Raw genomic sequence first — 20630 nt, forward strand, 5'->3', positions numbered from 1 at the left:
TGAAACTGACATTTTAATATCATAATTGTTCTTCTATCTCTCCTGGCCCTTGCCCTGGAAATTAGCAGCTTTCATAATGCCCTCTGCCCCAACAATGCCTGAAATATATTTCACACATGAATTAACTCGCCATCTGAATGCCCCTCTGAGATTACCTGTCAACAAGACTCTCATATGTTTCTCAAGTTGCATTCTTTAGGGCTGGCTGGTGTGGGACACTGGGAGCCCCAGGGAAAAGCACTGTCTGAGAATATTTAAGAAACGATGTGTTATAGTGCTGTGTTCATAGCTGTGTCTCCCTTCTAAAGCCACTGCTAAGCAGCATTTTTTTTTTAAGCTGGCATAGAGCTTAAGGAGGAAGATAAAAAGAAACAAAAAGGGCTACCTGATTCATTGATCTATTCACCTTTCCCCAAGATCTCTTTATTTCTTTAATTCCCTCCTTTGTTATATACAAAAGAATAACACACTGGAGAAATGGTGGGGTACGGGAGGAGTGGAATCAAAGATGAAGAGAGTAACACAGATATGATTAGGAAGTGTCTTCACTCACAAAGTTGGGAGTTGGCCTCACCAAAATATAACTTCTAGGTTGTGATGTGTATGTGTGCACCTTCTGAACACTTGAAATATTTCTTGCCAACTGCTACAAGAGGGCTGCCCTAGACCACTTATTTTAAAATCTTGAATAGTTTAAAAGAAAGAGAGACTCACAGACCTGTGAGACCTCAATTTGGGAAATGCTGACTTAAACCTATGTATACATATGCATGTCGATTACAAGATTATTCTTACAAAATAAAGATTTTTAATTGGCAAATATTTTTTAGACTTTTATAAAAAGAAATAGCATTGGAAGAGCTCAGTGATTCCTAACCATAGTTTTTTGAATGAAAACTCAGCAGGACCATGTCTGATGTTTCTTTGATCATTAGGTTTTATGACTGCATGTTCCCCGCCCTGTTTTTAAGTGGCACAATTGTTAAATCTTGTTTTAAAAGAGAGAAGAAATAGAATTCCAGAAGGAAGACAAAATAGAGCTAAAGAAGAACAAAACCAGAATCGAGTCAAGAATACTTTCACCTGGCCCTTCTCTAACCTTTCTTTTAAACATCCTCTGCCATAGTCATTCTAGAAATACTACATCAGCAAGTATTTTAATATCATCATGTCCGTAGTATATATTCATACTCACTCACATTTTAATTTTAATACATACATTATAAGTCTGTTAAACTAGACAATATAGCATGGGATATATATTAGATATCACTGGTAGAAGAATATACTTGTTGGTATTTCTTTCAAGTGAATATCACATTAGCCACATTTCAAGGGAAGATAAAACCTTATGATAAAAAGATAACATGTTTGCTTTTCAGGAATTAAAGGAGAACTGGGTGATATGGGAGATCAGGGCAATATTGGCAAGACTGGGCCCATTGGGAAGAAGGGTAAGTTGCATCTTACTATTCTCCAGTAGCAATTCAAAGCAAATTGAGGCCGGGTACGATGGCTCACACCAGTAATCCCAACACTCAGAGACCGAGGTGGGAGGATACCTTGAAGCCAAGAATTCAAAACCAGCCTGCACAACACAGCAAGACCCAATCTCTACCAAAAAAAAAAAAAAAATGAATTAGCTGGGCATGGTGGCACATACCTATAGTCCCAGCTACATAGGAGGCTGAGGTAGGAGGATCGTTTGAGCCCATAAGTTTGAGTCTGCAGTGAACCATGATCACACCACTGCAATCCAGCCTGGGTGACACAGTAAGACCCTGTCTCGAAAGAAAGAAAGAAAGAAAGAGAGAGAGAGAGAGAGAGAGAGAAAGAAAGAAAGAAAGAAAGAAAGAAAGAAAGAAAGAAAATTGAGGATACCCTTAATCATTTTAAGGTTTTGTATCATGAAAATATCTCCTTTTCCTTCTTTTAAATTAATAATTCTGTCTGTCTTCATAGTTTGTCTCTTTCTTCCATATATAAGCAATATATCTCACAGCTCAAAAAAAGAAATACCTAGAATAAAATGAAACAAGATGGCAGAAACAGAATCAAGCATCAAGGTCTGATAGTCTTTATGTTGAATTATCTCCTGGGATCTACTTGTTGGCTACAAATCCTTGCTATGATCAAAATGATACATGATTATTAATAAAATACAAAATAGGCAGAGGACAGTAAAATTTTCTTTTTTAATCTGAGTGGATTAACCAAAAATTCTGTGCCTATGATCTATTAACAGGATAGAAACTTGGAGCATATATGTGGATACCCACTTGTTTTCAGTCTTGTCCTAATTTTTTTTTTTTTTTTTTTTTGAGATGGAGTCTTGCTCTGTCACCCAGGCTGGAGTGCAGTGGTGGGATCTCGGCTTACTGCAACCTCTGCCTCCCGGGTTCAAGCAATTCTCCTGCATCAGCCACCCGAGTAGCTGGGACTACAGATGCCCACCACCACGCCCAGCTGATTTTTTGTATTTTTAGTAGAGACAGGGGTTTCTCTGTGCTAGCCAAGATGGTCTCGATCTTCTGACCTCAGGTGATCTGCCCGCCTTGGCCTCCCAATATGCTGGGATTACAGGCATGAGCCATCACACCTGGCCCTGATCTTATACATCATTAAAGCCTGAATATTAGAAAACAGAGATAGTCTCCTCTGTATTGTCTAAGCATTCCTTCCCTGTCCTCCTCTCAGAAAGCCCCACAATGGTAGCAGGTTCTAATTGCTCCTGATATTCAGTAATTTAAGCAAGCATTGTTTTACTTAGAGATACAAAACTGAATGAACATAAAATTTTATTGCAAGACATTCATAGACTATTCAGGAAGATAGAACTTTCTTAAAAAGAATTAGAGGCCGGATGCAGTGGCTCACACCTGTAATCCCAACACTTTAGGGGGCTGAGATGGGTGGATCACCTGAGGTCAGGAGTTTGAGACAAGCCTGGCCAAGATAGCAAAACCCCATCTCTACTAAAAATACAAAAATTAACTGGGTGTGGTGGTGCACGCCTGTAATCCCCACTACTGGGGAGGCTAAGGTACAAGAATCGCTTGAACCTGGGAGGCGGAGTTTGCATTGAGCCAAGATCATGTCACTGCACTCCAGCTTGGGAGATAGAGTGAGATTCCATCTCAAAGAAAAAAAAAAGAATTATAATACTGAATAACATGACTACTCCAGGACTCATGTTGGAGAGTAAGCAGCAAGACTGATATGCGAAAGAACAGACCTAGGTCTTGAAGAATAGTAACATTATGGAAATAGGCAAAAGGCACTAGAGAGAGATGCAAGAGATGCTTGTACAAAAAAGATTAGGGGAAGCTTAATCCCATGGGTAATATAATTTCTGTAGCCTTGATGTACCCTCCATCTTTTTGTAAATGCTTGAGCAGCTGCATAATTAAGCATGTGGCTCACTTGTCCAGCAGTATGTCCCTGCAGGCAGGTTGACAGACTGTGGTCTGAGCTTAGGCTGTGGCCTCTCTCTTCTCATCCTGTGGCTCAGTACTCCCTCTTTCTCCACTTTCCAACTCACTCATTTGAGAAATTCCCTTCAGCCTGCATTCGGAGGCAGGGATGAAGGGCAGTGCCACTGAAGAGAAATTGCTATGGGTGTCTCAGATCTGGTGGGTTATATTGTGTATTTCCTTGTGGTTGAAATCCTTAATAGCTGGGGAAGAGCAATATGAGCTTCCCATGGTTCAGAAGTCCTGCTGCAGTGTGTGTCTGTGATGGTTTTACCATGAAGAGTCCTCATGTGTTTCAGTCCTTCCCAAGATGCTGATAAAAGCCACAGCAATGGGTTCACATGGCCATATACCTCGATAAAATTTGTAAAGTAAGACAGATTCACCTCAAATGATTAAAATAGTGCTTCTTAACATTTTTTAAAGATACTACTCCCCTAACAAGGCTTTTAAGACATATTTCTTTTCTAATTGCCTTTCCCCATGAATTTTTAATACCACCCATGGATGATATATTTGTTTAGGTATTCTGTGTATGTTTGTGCTTTATATATTTTTAAAAGAGTACAATTCCACCTCCTAAAAACTAATTTGTGCGTCCTTAAGTGATATTTCCCCATTGAAAATGCACAGGTTAAGATTTCTCTCTCCTGCTCCAGTTTCCCTCAACATCCTTCTTGTACTGGGCAGTTTTGGAGTGGATACAAGAATCTTGGGAGCTAGCTAAGAGGAGCTTGAGGGAGAAACATTTAGTTTGGAGTTAATGAGATATCTTTATGTAATTTGATGTGACTTCCATGTATACTTATTGCTAGCAATTCCAATGCAGAAATAGTTTCCAAGAATACTCCTACCACTTACTATGTAGCTCTATCCAAAGCCAGGATGCAAAAGTGCTGAGTCAGAGGTCGGATCATCATATCAATGAGTCCCGGGGCATCCAGCCCACGAAATGTGTGGGCTGTGGAAAAGAAGCAATGTTTGAAATATACAGGGCCAGAGCTAGTCTGTGGAAAAAAAAGTTTCCAAATCTAACAGCTTATATATGAAAACTACTTTATAGAGGTATAGTCTCAAAATTGACAATATTATTAATTTACATATAACACCAATAACAAGTTGTAATGGTGAAAGAAAAATCTGACACTACTACTAATAAAGACAAAATTCAGACTTCTGCTACAGGCCATGAGGATTTGCCTGTCTTACATTAATCCTTCTGCTAAGTACGACTAGCTGGGTCCAAAAAAATATTTAAATACATATCTGAAGGTATGACAGTGCAACCAAAATGAACAGAACTTTAGGGGCCATGATCTGGAGGAGAAGGGAATCATACTAAGGCAAGTGATGAATTCTGTACTACCTTCCTCCCAAGTCATCCACCAGTTCATAAGTGGGGCAGCCCTAAGTGGCTAAGAGGCTTGAGCAGAAAGTTGCTGAAACTGGATTGATATGCAAGGCCTGTCAAAGAGGAATGGCCCAGGAAATGCCCCCATATTCCCAGTTAGAACTCCAGAAATACTACTCCAGAAAACACTTAATTAAACCTATACCTATTCATGTTTTTAAAAACTGTTAGCAAATTAGAAATAGAAGGAAACATAATTTGAAAAGGAATACCAACAACAACAAAAATCTACTTAAAAATGATACTCCATAATAAAATACTGAACACTTTATCTCCTGAGACTGGGAATGAAATTAGCACAGCCCTCTATCAGCAATTCTAATCAACATTATGCATGAGGTTCTAATCACAGCAAAAAATGGAAGAAAAATAAAAATCATAATAATTGAAAATAAAGGAATATGAGCGTTATTTGTGGAGAACATGATTGCATACCTAGTACAAAATAATCTATAGATAATCTATTTGTATTGATAAGTTTTTCAGATGGCTTGACATACAAAAATCAATTTTGTTTCCACATAGAAACAATTTAAAAAGAGACCATTTATAATAGTGTCAAAATAAGTAAATATGTAAAAATAAATCCAACAAAAGTTATAAGCCCTCCACAATAAACTACACATAATGGACAAGAAATTAAAGAATATCTAAGGTAATGAAGGTAAAACTATGTTACTGGGTTGAGAGACTCAATATTGTTAATATGCCAGTTCTTTCCCAGATTGATCCATCGACTCAATGCTACCTCAGTCAAAATCCCAGAAGTGGGCCAGGCACGGTGGCTCATGCTTTTAATCCTAGCACTTCGGGGGGCCGAGGTGGATGGATCACCTGAGGTCTGGAGTTTGAGACCAGCCTAGCCACATGATGAAACCCCGTCTCTACTAAACATACAAAAATTAGCCTGGCATGGTAGTGCATGCCTGTAATCCTAGCTACTTGGAAGACTGAGGTGGGAGAATTGCTTGAGCCTGGGAGGTAGAGGTTGCAGTGAGCTGAGATCCCAGCACTGCACTCCAACCTGGGCAACAGAGTGAGATTCTATCTCAAAACAAAAAACAAAGCAAAACAAACAAATAAATCCCAGAAGTGTTCTTTTAGAAATTGATAAGCCAATTCAAAATATATGTGTAAATGAAAATGACCAAAAATACCCAAGACAATTTTGAAAAAATGAAAAATAAAACAAAGGTAGAAGACTTAAATTACTGAGTTTGAGTTTATACATTTATTAGGAAACTAAACCATTAGAATAGTGTAATTTCATGAAGAGATAGACAAATGAATTAAGGGAAGAGTCCAGAAACACACTACCAAACTTGATTTATGCAAAGTTGACACTATTTTGTAATAGAATTCACAAGCTAATCAATATATAGTACTGAGTTATTGGCTATTCATGTATAAAAATAATAATCTCGATCCCATACTTAACACTGTACCTAAAATCAATGGTTTATAGATCTAAATTTGGTGGTAAACCCAAATCTGAGAGACCTAAATTTGAAAGGTGAAGCAATAATGCCTCTGGAAGTTAATATAGAAGTCTATATTTTTGATCCTAGGGTAGCCAACACGTTTTTAAACAGGATATGACAAAGACTAACCATGTAAGAAAAACTAACAAATTGAAGTCTATCAAAATAAAGAACTTCTGGCCAGGTACAGTAGCTGACGCCTGTACTCCCAGCACTTTGGGAAGCCAAGGCATGTAGGTCACCTGAGATCGGGAATTCGAGACCAGCCTAGCCAGCATGGCGAAACCCCATCTCTACTAAAAATGCAAAATTAGCTGGGTGTGGTGACACATGCCTGTAATCCCAGCTACTTGGGAGCCTGAGGTGGGAGAATCACTTGAACCAGGGAGGCGGAGATTGCAGTGAGCAAAGATCACACCACTGCCCTCCAGCTTGGGCGACAGAGTGAGACTGCATCTCAAAAATAAAATAAAATAAAATAAAGAACTTCTATTCATTAAAAGATACTTCTCAGAGAACAAAAAAGGAAACCACAGAATTGGCTATGTGCTACCTTTGTATTCAATAAAGGGCTTACATGTAAAACATATAAAGAGATTATACAAATCACTAAGAAAAATAACTGATAACCCAAAGAAATAAAAAAGGTCAAAAGAATAGTCACTTAACAAAAGAACATATTTGACTAAACTATGATAGTACTGCATACTAACCAAAATGGCTAAAATAAAAATGACTGACAATATCTAGTGTTGGTAAGGATGCAGAACAACTGAAACTCTTATACTTTGCTTCACTATACCATGGAAATAAATATACTATCTCAATATGCAAAAAATGAATGAATATATGGACACAGTATTGGGGAAAATATTCTATACAGAAAAAAACTATATGCCAAATGGTTCTATTTATAGAAATTTCAACAACATGAAAAATTTATAGCTTGAAAACTTGTAACACAGTTCTAAGTCAGTATGGTGATCTTTAGAAAGGAGGGCTGTAATAATCTGTAGATGACACAAAAGTGGCTTCTTGAGGATCTAGGTATTGTTTACACAGGTATTTTATTCTGTAAAAAGTCATCAAGCTGAATCTTTGTGTTGACAAACTTTTCTTTGTGTTTTTTTTTCAGTAAGCAAAGTTTAATAAAATAATTTTTGGTTAACTGTGCTAAGCGAAAGAGTATTATCTGACTACGTTATCCCTCTATCATTCTTAAAAATGATATTAGAAATTTGTGGACAGATAAAACAGCAATATGAATGCAGCCAAACATACATAGCTAATTATTATGAAAAAAAGCACTTTCAAGGCACAATAATTCATTCATTGACGAAAATATTATAATGTTTAGTGAATTTTGTAATGTGCAATTGACCTACTTTTAAAATTTAGTGATTTGTTTTTATTTCTTATGATACATATTCATTTTTACAACCACTTTTCCATTTTTAATTTTGTATCTTTTTTTAAAGAAGTCCCTTCAAACTGTATAAGCTTCAGATAAAATGCATCATGGATCTGTCCCTATCTGTATCAACTTCGTTAAACCACTGGTTAAAGACAGAAAGGTATAGCAGGAAAGTGGGATGTTGGACTTCAAAATTTCTGAGATGCAGCTATGCTAAATGTGATTAAGATCTCATGTATTGCTCGTATTGCTCTGCAGAGGTAGCAGAAGTGGAGGGAGAGGGTAAGTCGCTGCCATGAATAAGTCCAGAATTGAAGAACTTTTTTTTTTTAGATAAGTAACATTTTTTAATTGCAGTGAAACATACACAACATAACCTTAGCCATCTTAACTATTTTTAAGTGTACAGTTCAATGGCACTAAGTACTTTCACATTGCTGTGCAAATATCACCTCCCTCCACCTCCAGAACTCTTTTCAACTTCCAGAACTGAAGCTCTGTACCCAGTAAACAATAACTCCCCAGATTAAAGTTATTGTTTCTTAGGCTATATTTTTGAGAGCAGTGAACTTCATTTTTTAATGGTCATTCTAGATTTTGCACTTCCCTAGATTTAGATGTGTAAGTCTTGATGGGATACCATCTAGAAGAGTTAAAGCTAAGGATCTTAAGCACAGTCTTAACCCTTGAATAAAATAAGACTATGTAAGGTGGGAGCATAGTAGATGACGAAGACAAGAAAGGCTCAAGAGTTTTTAGTACGATTAGCTGAGCCCCAAAGTGGATGAACTTCCAGAGATGTTGAAAAAGTACCAGTCTTGAAATGATAGGATTAACTAACCTTATTTCCTTCATGCTAATTCCTCCTTTAAGGCTCAGGTACATAGCACCTAATACATACCTGTATCACTGTACTCACTGTCATATCTGATTAGCTTATCTGTTTCCCCTCATAGACCTGAACTTCTTGGGAGAACAAATGAATGAAAGGTTCACTGGATTTGTTTGTTTAAATAAAATAAGCTCTGTTGGGACCCTAGTATTTAACCATTTTATCTTAATGCCTATTATATATTATAGACACTTGCTAGATGTTTGTTGCATTAAACATGAAAAACTGCATAATAAAACATATTATTTCTTACAACTTGTTTCTCTTTACTACTCCATATTCCTATAAGTACCACTTTTCCTTAATATCAATTTCCACCATTAGCTATTAAGATTTTCTTCCTCTCCAGAGATATGCCATCAAATTTATGAGCATGTCCTGGAATCTTTTTAAATGGAGATGCAATGTTCCGTCTCACTCGGATTAATTTCATTTTTAATCTGTACTTTGAAATTTATTGTCCTCATTTTGGTGATTGTCTTTCTGAATATTTTACTGACTCAGATTAATCTCAACTTTCTAGGCTGGCCTTAATGTTGTCACTTGCATGGATAGGGTAGCTTCCTGGATGTCAATATTTCATTTTAGGAATAAGAAATAATAGTGATTTAGTATAGGTAAATTCCATCTCATAGCAAAATAAATGTTTTTATTTAAGGTCAATAATCCATTTACGCTGAAAGCATTATGATTTTTTTGTTTGTTTGTTTGAATGTGACCTCTAATTCAACTTTTAGACAGTTATTACAGACATGTTCCCACTCATTGGCCAAAATCAGTTTTTGTGGATGACTTTAAATCATAATTTGTTTTGGGGAAATAGACATTGTAAGCTCAAATCTTCCATAAGCTGGCTAAGTACTTGGCATGCATTCCTTTACCATAACTCAGATTCAGGAAACAGAAGTTAACATTGGTTGAGCATTCTATGTGAGTCAAGCCCAGTGCTGATCCGATTATAAGAAAATATTACTATACCTAATTTATTCTCCTTAATGATCTCATAATTTTAGGTACTAATTATTTCTACTTTTAAGATAAAGAAAAGGAGGCTTAGAGAAATTAAGTAACCTGTCCATGTGTAGCCAGTAAGTGGCAAAGCCAGGATTCAAACCCTGGTTTTGGGGAGCTTTCATCATCTTTCATTGCACCACACTGCTTTGGTGTTCCCATTTGTCATGAAATGAAAAGAATTCATGTCAAAATACTGAAAACTAGTCACAGAGTTTATGTCTTCTCAGAAAAAAAGACCACATAGCAATTCAAGAAACTGTTTTCTATATTATTAAGTTCTAGCTAAGGGCTACTGCTTCAGTGAAGCCTTCTCCACTCTGATCCACACCATCTTTTCTTTTTCTGAATTTCTACCAGGCTTTTCATTTGCTTCCCTCTGTTAGTACATGATAGTATCTCATCTCTTTGTTCTCTTATGTGTGTTTTGCTTTCCTTAAAAGCCCGTCATTTTCCCAAGGCACTTGATTTATGCTTCTTTTATGTCCATTTTAAAGCTTAGCCCAGAACTAGGATCATAGCATAACTGGAATCAACGTTCCATCTGTGTTGAATTAAAAGGGATTCACATGCAAAGAAAATATAATGTTTTAAAAAATCAAAACATTAAACCCATAATCATACAATCTTTTAAGTGCATAATGTTTTTGATGGTGATGAGGACTGCTATTCTTTGCAAATTTTGATAACATTTTTCAAACACCTTGCTTTTTTTCATTAAACCATTGGTTAACTCACTGGGAAGCACCATGAAAGGGGGGTTAGAAATGGTTGGGCTGGAATATCAGCACTGCCATTTAATGGCTAGATGTCCTCGAGCAAGTTATTTTGCCTCTCTGATCCTCAATTTCTTCAAGTTGTAGGATAAAGATAATTATAACACTTAGTTCATGAGATTTAATGTGATAATATGTGTAAGGTATCCCGAATAGTACTTGGTGATTGACTGGTACTTAGTAAAATGTATATTCCCTTTCTTCCATGAATATCTCAAAATCTATTCTTATTTTTTCCAACTTACAGGTAAGAGAAATAAGGAATTTGCAGGATATAACTAAGGTGTGAGCAGATTGATATTACTGAGCAGGGTGCTCGACATATGCTCATGCCTTTATCCCAACTATATCCTCTGCTGTACCTTGAACCTGACCTTGTGCCCACTTTCATTCAGTTGCTGAAGCTTTTCATAGCGAAGCTCAAATGCTAAACTTTCCTTTACCCTTCCACTTGAAGCACTATCTCTTCTGCCTTCCTCTCAGACTATGTTATCTCTCTGTTCAATGTCTCTCTCACAACATGTATCACGTTCCATTGGTATAGATTTCACCGTTGTCTCATTTCATCCAAGTACAAGTTCCAAGCCTTCCTCCTGCACATGTAAACTGTATTCTGGACTTCAAGGACCCCCACCTTCTGTTTGGGGAGCACGTGAATGACTGGCATCAACTCTAAAGAAATGTGTCCACATGGCTCAGTTTAGAAAGGCTCAACAAATCCTTGGGGCCCCAGCAGGCATGCCTTCTTCTGAATGATCAAAAGTAACTATGTAAGGAACTTTTAAAGAAACACATCAGACAATGATGAGAAAAGCCAATGGGTGTCCTCAGCGCATGCAACATGGGGCGCCCTACAGGTTTTAGAGTGGCTTCCACTTTTTCTCTGTTGCTGGTGAACGGTGAGGCTTGGCAGAACCTTAATACCAACTCCATTCCCTTTTGCATTGTCCCCTTGGGCCGTATAACTAATTCTCTGACCACACCACATTCCTGTGAGGGTAAGCTCCATATACCTAGCCTAGGTGACCTTCATCCTGCATTCATCCCTCGTGAGTTCTTTTTCTTTTTTTCCAGATCACTATTGAAGCATAAACTCTATTTTAATCTGTCAGGGTCTTCCCTTTTGATTCTCAAGAACCTCAGCCAAACATTTCTTCCTGAAAATCAAAAGCTTTTGCTTTCAATTATTGTGTCTGATGTGGGCTTCAAGAGCTTATTTTGAAGTTGAAAAAAAATTAACGTGTTTTATTCTTTCTCTCTGCTTTAAAAATCCTGCTTCTCTGAGAATTATTTTGTGGATACCTGTGAGTGAGAAAATGGTTACATATAAAGAAGTACAGAGAGGGAAAGTACCAAGGTTGCTATTTCAGTATAATATATTTGACATGACTTTGTATTATTAGTATTTGCATACATCACTTCACTTCTAAAAATTGTAAACTCCTTCAAGTCATAGGTTGAATCTTATGTTTCTGTATATCCTTTCAAAGCACCCAGCCTTTTGGTTTTCATAGAGTAAGCAAATAGTAAATATTTGTCTAATTAAGTTGAAAAAGCACAATACATGTGTTTTTTTGTTTTGTTTTGTTTTGTTTTGGAAATCCAAGGGCAAAGCCACTTGGAATAACTTGGGGCATAATAAGTACAAAGACACTACAGTGTGCTAACAAATTGATCGAGATTCACATAACAATGGTAGTTTTAAAATTGAAAACATGCTGAGAATTGTATTAGCCTTGTTCAGAAGGCCATGTTATTAAAAAAAATGTTAATAGGACAGGTTACACAAATTCAAATTCTTCTTACAAACCCTGCTGGAATTCTATATTCAATCTAAATAAATTATGACTCATTTAATTAGTTGCACCTGTGTAGCCAATTGAAAATCACATTATTTATAAAAACCAAGAGATATTAGAGATACTAGCTGTAGATATTGCAAATACAATTTAAACTGCTTTGACTCTAGATGTAAATTCACTCCTTCCTCCCTCCCTCCCTCCCTCCCTCCCTCCCTCCTTCCTTCTTTTCCTTCCTTCATTCCCTTCCTTCCTTCCTTCCTTTTTTCCTTTCTTCTTTTATTTTAATTTTATTTTATTTTGGTTGCTATTGTTTTTTTTCAGGTGACAAAGGGGAAAAAGGTTTGCTTGGAATACCTGGAGAAAAAGGCAAAGCAGGTACGATATGTTCAATGTTCTCTTTGATTTCTAGCATGATTCCAAGTTTATTCATCTCAAAAATAAATATATTTCAAATGAAAAGCAAGAGTCCTTTTAGTATGCTTAACCTTATTTTCCTCAGGCTAGAAGAAAGGGAAGAAGGGGACTTTCCTGTCTCCCTGCTGGTGACTTTCCAAGCCTTGGGGACAGGGATGATGACACGTTTCATCCCTGCCATGCTTACTATGAGAAGAAAGCCCAGCCCATCAGGAAGCAGCCTAATTCTTCTGGGCCAAGAGAAAACTCTGGCAGTAAGCCCTGCCTCAGCATGCCATGCCTTGCCTTTCACTAGCATCTCAACCAAATACTGGCCATCAGAGTGCAGCAGCAGCCTGACCAGATGCAGACAGGCCCCTGGTTACAGTACATGCTTTCCATGGCCACGGAGATTCTCTAGGGTTATTGTCCTGGAGCTTTATTCCCAGTGCTTTACACAGGGAAAGAAAGTAGATTGTACTTTGGTAATTTCAATTGTTTCTATCCACAGAGGTATGGTGAAGACAATTCTAAGAACTTTTTGACATTCTTCATATTTCATATGAATATGGATACATAAGGCCATAGATTTTTTTCCTTTGGCTAATAAAATTATTTTTAATTTTCAAGCTACCAAAGGAAAAAAATTGAAATGTTTGTGTATAACAGCCATTAAATAGAAAAAGAGAATCATTTGAATTTTACATCGGTTTCCTTGTAATTCCCTCTCTGTCACAGCAATATTTGCAGGTTGTTGAAAAGTTAGGTGAGCAAAGAAGAATGAAAGACACATTAAAATCATAGTTAATCCACAAACTGGGCAACTGGCTTTTACAAACTTCAGTTGAATCTATTTATATGATTCAAACTTTGTCCTTGAAACATGCAAGCTGTATTTTAAATGGATAATTAGAATTAACATTTGATTTAATCATGAAAAGTTTCTTCTGTCTTAGAAAAACTGTGTCATCTATTGAATAATGCAATAACACAAGAGAACACTGGCAGGAAATATGTTTCAAGAAAGCTGTAAAAATTTTATTCTGAGATTGGGCAGACACATTCTGTGTTCAACAAAAAAAAAATGCCAAATGGTCCAAAATGTGTATGCAGTGGTTGTCATATATATTCTTCTTTTTAATAATCTAGTTTAGAATTGTCTTATAGTTCATTCAAAACATTTACAAGATATTTTCTGAAATTCTATAAATAATGTAAATTGGAAACCTTATTTTAAATAAAAGATTTAAAGTATAGCCATTCACAGATATATAGAACCAGACTAGAAAAAGATAGTGAATATTGGAAAGAGAGCAAATGTTCCTTTCCACTGGTCTGCAGGTACTTCAACATGAATTCACAGTTTTTGTCATTTAAAAGGTACTGTCTGTGATTGTGGAAGATACCGGAAATTTGTTGGACAACTGGATATTAGTATTGCTCGGCTCAAGACATCTATGAAGTTTGTCAAGAATGGTGAGCATATTCTCTTTTGTGTTATGTATCTATTGATAGATCTCCATCAACACTACAATTCCAGTACTCTTAGATGGAAATATCTTGAGTTGGACAAAGGGCTATTGAGATAGTGTCACCAGTTTAAGGGTCTCCCAAATTGCTAATTATCCACTAAGACTCCCCTAGGACACCTCAAGTCTGCTACATATATTTATATGTATGTGCATTGCTTATGGGAAGAGAAAGACTTTCTTAGGTGAGGGGAATGGAGAAAAGAGCAGAGTGTGGCAAGCTATGCTGTAAGAATAAAAAGAGACAGTAAGAGTCACACAGAACTAGCATCTCAGAAAATAGAGGTAATAATAACAATAACTGCTTTCTTGAGTGCATGGAATAGTGCACAACTACTAGCATTATCTCACTGAGTTTACATAATTGTTTATGTAGTATGTAGTTACTATGATAACTAAAGCTTAGAGGAAGTACCTTGCCCATAGATACAGACCTAATGAGCAGTAGAGCAGGAATGTAGTACAAGCTTCTCTGACTCCTCTATCCACAATACAAACATAATGTGTTTATCTGTTTTCCAACTTCCAATACTGGTCATTTTTGTTATCCCTTGTCCATTTTTTAATGCTAGTTATCAGAAAAGCCCTTGAAGTGGAAAGGGCTTATGTATTTTCTGAGACAGTATTAATAAGGTAACTATTATAATTACAGTTAAAATTGGTTTCTTTTTCTTATACTTTCATTTATTGTAACTCAGCAATATTTGCTGTACATTGTTGGAATCACATAGATGCTGTCTCGTGTTCATCCTCATCTTGTAACACTAGAGGCAAAGGAAATACTTGATATTAACTAACCACACTAATTATAACTTTGGTTGTAATCTGTACTGAAGATTCTGTCTCTGATATGACTTAGACTGTCATGAATAAGCCAGATCATACAGGGAGAACATAGAGCAATAGTTCTGAACATTTTAGTGGTCATAGATTTATTTGTGAATTAAAGTTATGGATCCTAAAATGCCTATGTAGAGGCCGCTGACACCCAAAACATACATGCCATATTATGAGAGAAGGGTGATTCTCAGTCTCCAGTTCTGTCCTGAAGCTAACTCAGTAGCTCAGTCTTCCTCTTGTACCTGGGATGAAATATGGACAATCCCAATTCATGTACATGTTCACAGCCCAGGAATTTGGTCCAATGTGGACAAACATCTGTATTATTCCTGCATCATTTCAATAAGCATTTACCATTCCCATAAGTATTCCAGGCACTGAAGCCAAAGAGTGTCAAAGACATGGTCATTGTCCTTAAGACATTCACAGGTAAGTAGGAGAGAAATGCAGGCAAACGATGAGACTAAAATGTGTTGAGTGCTAGAAGGAGGAAGTGAAAGGGGCAATGGAAACTCGGGAGAGTGACTGCCATGTCTATCCAAGGGCATTGGAAAGACTTCTTATAGGGGAAAATATTTCCACTGAGATCTAAAGGGATGAGTAGAAGTTTACCAGGTAGAAAAGACTTTCTAGGCATAAAAGGCTTGGAAGTATAAGAGAAAAGGGCCTGCTCATGTAGCCACCAGTATAGCTAAAGCATAAACTATGTTGGGAAATATAGTATGAGATGGGCTGGCTGAAAGTTCATGTAACATGTCTTTGTCAACTTTGTGCTGGCCAGGTGTGTGAGAAGTTGAGGAGAAAAGGAAGGGAGAACAAACGGTAGATATGTGTTCTCTATTTGCTAACTAGAGGTGGGGGTAATTAAATCTGTGACTACCTCATAATAGGGCTTTGAAAAATAATTCTTGAATATTGAATAAATAAATGTAAATCTGGCAATATCATATAATTTTGTTGCCTTTTATCTTTTTGAGATACGTAATGATACTCCTTTTTCTCTCCCTGCAGTGATAGCAGGGATTAGGGAAACTGAAGAGAAATTCTACTACATCGTGCAGGAAGAGAAGAACTACAGGGAATCCCTAACCCACTGCAGGATTCGGGGTGGAATGCTAGCCATGCCCAAGGATGAAGCTGCCAACACACTCATCGCTGACTATGTTGCCAAGAGTGGCTTCTTTCGGGTGTTCATTGGCGTGAATGACCTTGAAAGGGAGGGACAGTACATGTTCACAGACAACACTCCACTGCAGAACTATAGCAACTGGAATGAGGGGGAACCCAGCGACCCCTATGGTCATGAGGACTGTGTGGAGATGCTGAGCTCTGGCAGATGGAATGACACAGAGTGCCATCTTACCATGTACTTTGTCTGTGAGTTCATCAAGAAGAAAAAGTAACTTCCCTCATCCTACGTATTTGCTATTTTCCTGTGACCGTCATTACAGTTATTGTTATCCATCCTTTTTTTCCTGATTGTACTACATTTGATCTGAGTCAACATAGCTAGAAAATGCTAAACTGAGGTATGGAGCCTCCATCATCATGCTCTTTTGTGATGATTTTCATATTTTCACACATGGTATATTATTGACCCAATAACTCGCCAGGTTACATGGGTCTTGAGAGAGAATTTTAATTACTAATTGTGCACGAGATAGTTGGTTGTCTATATGTCAAATGAGTTGTTCTCTTGGTATTTGCTCTACCATCTCTCCCTAGAGCACTCTGTGTCTATCCCAGTGGATAATTTCCCAGTTTACTGGTGATGATTAGGAAGGTTGTTGATGGTTAGGCTAACCTGCCCTGGCCCAAAGCCAGACATGTACAAGGGCTTTCTGTGAGCAATGATAAGATCTTTGAATCCAAGATGCCCAGATCTTTTACCAGTCACACCCTATGGCCATGGCTATACTTGGAAGTTCTCCTTGTTGGCACAGACATAGAAATGCTTTAACCCCAAACCTTTATATGGGGGACTTCTAGCTTTGTGTCTTGTTTCAGACCATGTGGAATGATAAATACTCTTTTTGTGCTTCTGATCTATCGATTTCACTAACATATACCAAGTAGGTGCTTTGAACCCCTTTCTGTAGGCTCACACCTTAATCTCAGGCCCCTATATAGTCACACTTTGATTTAAGAAAAATGGAGCTCTTGAAATCAAAAGAAAAAAATGGGGAATTGTTCACAAACAATACTGGTTATAGTTCTCTTGCTAAATTGCCCACTGCTATTAACTTAACTTCATTTTTATTTATCTTAGGTTTACCTGCATCAATTTTATTCACCTTAGGCATAGGGAATGAGGGAAGGAGTTTGTGAAGCCTTAAGAAAATTCTGGAAGCTTCAAAGTGCTACCAACATCATCTCCAGGCCCCCTCATCCTTGCCTCTAACATATCACTAATGGTGACATTTCATGGGAGGCCTTTTACTCTTCATAAATATATGTCATAGAAATCCTACTGGAGATGTCCCTTCTAATACTCTGGCATCACAGAAATGTGTGAGGCACAGAATTCGGAACATGCTTAGAACTCACATTTACTGAGCTGGTAAAATTCTACCTTGAACTGTAGATCAAACCTCAAAGCAGCTTTCACTTGGAATTTAAAAATAAACAGTTCAAAGATACTCTAGATTATCACCCTATAAACTTCTACTCCAGTTATGGTTTCTGACATATGATTAGACTGTTTCAAATGCTGGCAAAATGGTTAATGAAGTAAGAGAAACAGATCAACAACATATGTTCACCTTAAACCATCTGTTCATGATTTCACCCGTGACTAACTGGTTATGAGATAGGACTTAATTAGGTTATTTCTGTGGGTTCAACAAGGGCCATAAACTCAGATCCTACAGGGGCCAGGCAGATGACTTACCTAAATGAAGTGGAACACGTGGGGACCCTAGTGCACTGAGCACAGCTTGCCCTTCCAAAGGAGCCAGCTGCTCCTCAGTGGCTGCTGCTGGTGCTAGGGAGGACCCAATCTTGCTAAATGTGCTGATATTTCAAGAGAAGTCAGAAAGCTGGGACTTTGTAACATAAGCTCATATTTTAATATGTTGGCAACTAATTAATTTTTAACCCAAATTTTAAGTGGGTTAAAAATTAATTAAAATTAAAGATTTGAGGTCAAAAGTCTTCTAGCTAAAGTTGTGATCATTTCATTTCTTACTTCTGGAGGAAGGTTCAGAAGGTTCTAACCAAATAGAATGTCATTAGGATATGATGACATGAAAGTCAAGATATCCCATTAATACCATATTCAATTCAGCTTAATAATAGGAATTTGTTATATGTTTGACATTTATCAGGTTACTAGTTAAACTCTTTTGAGATGATAGTACATGACACTTTAAAGGCAGAAAAGCTTAATAAAAATTACAAAGTAGGACATCAAACGCCAGTATCCTTGGATAGAAAGCCATCCCAGATCATGAGGAATGAAAACCTAGAAACACCTGTAGGAAAATAAAGCTCATATGTAAGAAGAGAGGAAGGAGAGACATGCAGCAAATGTTGCCTACGGGCAACTTCATGTTAAGGATCCATGTTCTGATTTGTTCTAAGCCCCCAAAGTATGAGTATTTATTGTGTGCACTGTTAGTGCTATTATTATTTACTGTGAATGTTATAATAATAGTTCTCTCAATGACTCATGTTGTCTGTGATGCTTCCAAGAGAGATAACAGAACTTCAACAAATAAGTTATATCCTGCAACCTTGCCTGAAAGAAATTTTGAAGACACCACACACTTAATTAAAATTACTACAAAAACTCAAATTTGTGAAGCACGTTGTGCTTTAAAAAATGCCTTCACATATCAATTTTCATTTGATTCTGATAAACTCTGTGAAGGACGAAAAACAGTCATTTTTACTGCCACTTCCCAGTGATACTACTGAGGCCCAAGGAAGCTAAGCAATTTACCAAAATCAGCTCACATATAAATGAATGCCATTAGCCTGCTGATTGAAACTGCCAATGCAGTGTCTTCTCCAATTTCTGTGCATTGCTCATGTATTGAATGGAAGTTCATCCACAATGGTCTTGTGATAGCAGGGGCTCAAACAACTTATCTGTACTACATTCCAAAGTTAAAGATGAGGATTAATTAACAGAGATGCTGGATACAGCAACTTGCCTTACAAATTTAGTGTTCACTGTTTTGTTTTTCAATTCACAAACGTCCACATAGGCATTAGTGTTGAGGAGGTGACTTACGGCAGCCACAGTACAATTCTGCAGATAACTAGAGTTATAGGGCAATCAAAGCAGATACATAAAAATCAATTTTGTTAGTCTTTTCAAAATACCAGCTCCTCAATTCCTGGACTTTTTGATGGGTTTTTCATGTCTCTATCTCCTTCAGTTCTGCGCTGATCATAGTTATTTCTTGTCTTCTTCTAGCTTTTGAATTTGCTTGCTCTCACTTCTCTAGTTCTTTTAATTTTGATGTTAGGGTGTTGATATTAGATATTTCCTGCTTTCTCCTGTTGGCATTTAGTGCTATAAATTTCCCTCTAAACACTGCTTTAGCTGTGTCTCAGAGATTCTGGTATGTTGTGTATTTGTTCTCATTGGTTTCAAAGAACTTATTTATTTCTGCCCTAATTTTGTTATTCAACCAATAGTCAGTCATTCAGGAGCAGGTTGTTCAGTTTCCATGTAGTTGTGTGGTTTTGAGTGAGTTTTTTAACCCTGAGTTCTAACTTGATTGCGCTGTGGTCTGAGAGACTGTTTGTTATGATTTCCATTAGTTTGCATTTGCTGAGGAGTGTTTTACTTCCAATTATGTGGTCAGTTTTAGAGTAAGTGCAATGTGGTGTTGAGAAGAATGTATATTCTGTTGATTTGGGGTGGAAAGTTCTGTAAATGTCTGTTATATCTGATAACAAGTTCTGAAATTGAGGCAGTAATTAAGAGCCTACCAACCAAAAAAAAGCTCAAGACTAGACAGATTCATAGCTGAATTCTACCAGAGGTACAAAAAGGAGCTGGTGACATTCCTTCAGAAACTATTCCAGACAATAGAAAAAGAGGGACTCCTTCCTAACTCATTTTATGAGGCCAGCATCATCCTGATACCAAAACCTGGCAGAGAAACAACAACAACAAAAATTTCAGGCCAATATCCTTAATGAACATTGAAGTGAATATCCTCAATACAATATTGGCAAACCGAATCCAGCATCAGAAAGCCTATCCACCATGATCAAGTCGGTGTCATCCCTGGGATGCAAGGCTAGTTCAACATATGCAAACCAATAAACATAATCCATCACATAAACAGAACCAATGACAAAAACCACATGATTATCTCAATAGATGCAGAAAATGCCTTTGATAAAATTCAACACCCCTTTATGCTAAAAACTCTCAATAAACTATTTAGTGATAGAACATTTCTCAAAATAATAAAACTATTTATGACAAACTCACAGCCAATATCATACTGAATAGGCAAAAGCTAGAACCATTCCCTTTGAAAATGGGCACAAGACAAGGATGCCCTTTCTCACCACTCCTATTCAACATAGTATTGGAAGTTCGGGCCAGAGCAATCAAGCAAAAGAAAGAAATAAAGGGCATTCA

The 20630-nt window shown here is 37.1% G+C and overlaps 1 protein-coding gene across 3 annotated transcripts in view; it reads left to right on the forward strand.

Moving 5' to 3' along the window:
* COLEC10 (collectin subfamily member 10) overlaps window positions 1-18689 on the forward strand; it is a 156193-nt gene extending 137504 nt beyond the window's left edge. For all 3 annotated transcript variants that reach the window (NM_001324095.2, XM_005250756.4, NM_006438.5), the window contains 4 exons: window positions 1383-1454; window positions 12582-12635; window positions 14034-14129; window positions 16034-18689. In NM_001324095.2, the coding sequence (NP_001311024.1) occupies window positions 1383-1454; window positions 12582-12635; window positions 14034-14129; window positions 16034-16425 (614 nt within the window). In that variant the 3' untranslated portion in view covers window positions 16426-18689. The remainder of the gene's footprint in view (window positions 1-1382; window positions 1455-12581; window positions 12636-14033; window positions 14130-16033) is intronic.
* The last annotated feature ends 1941 nt before the right edge of the window (window positions 18690-20630 follow it).

Source organism: Homo sapiens, chromosome 8 (assembly GCF_000001405.40).
Source record: "Homo sapiens chromosome 8, GRCh38.p14 Primary Assembly".
NCBI classification, from domain to species: Eukaryota; Metazoa; Chordata; class Mammalia; order Primates; family Hominidae; genus Homo; species Homo sapiens.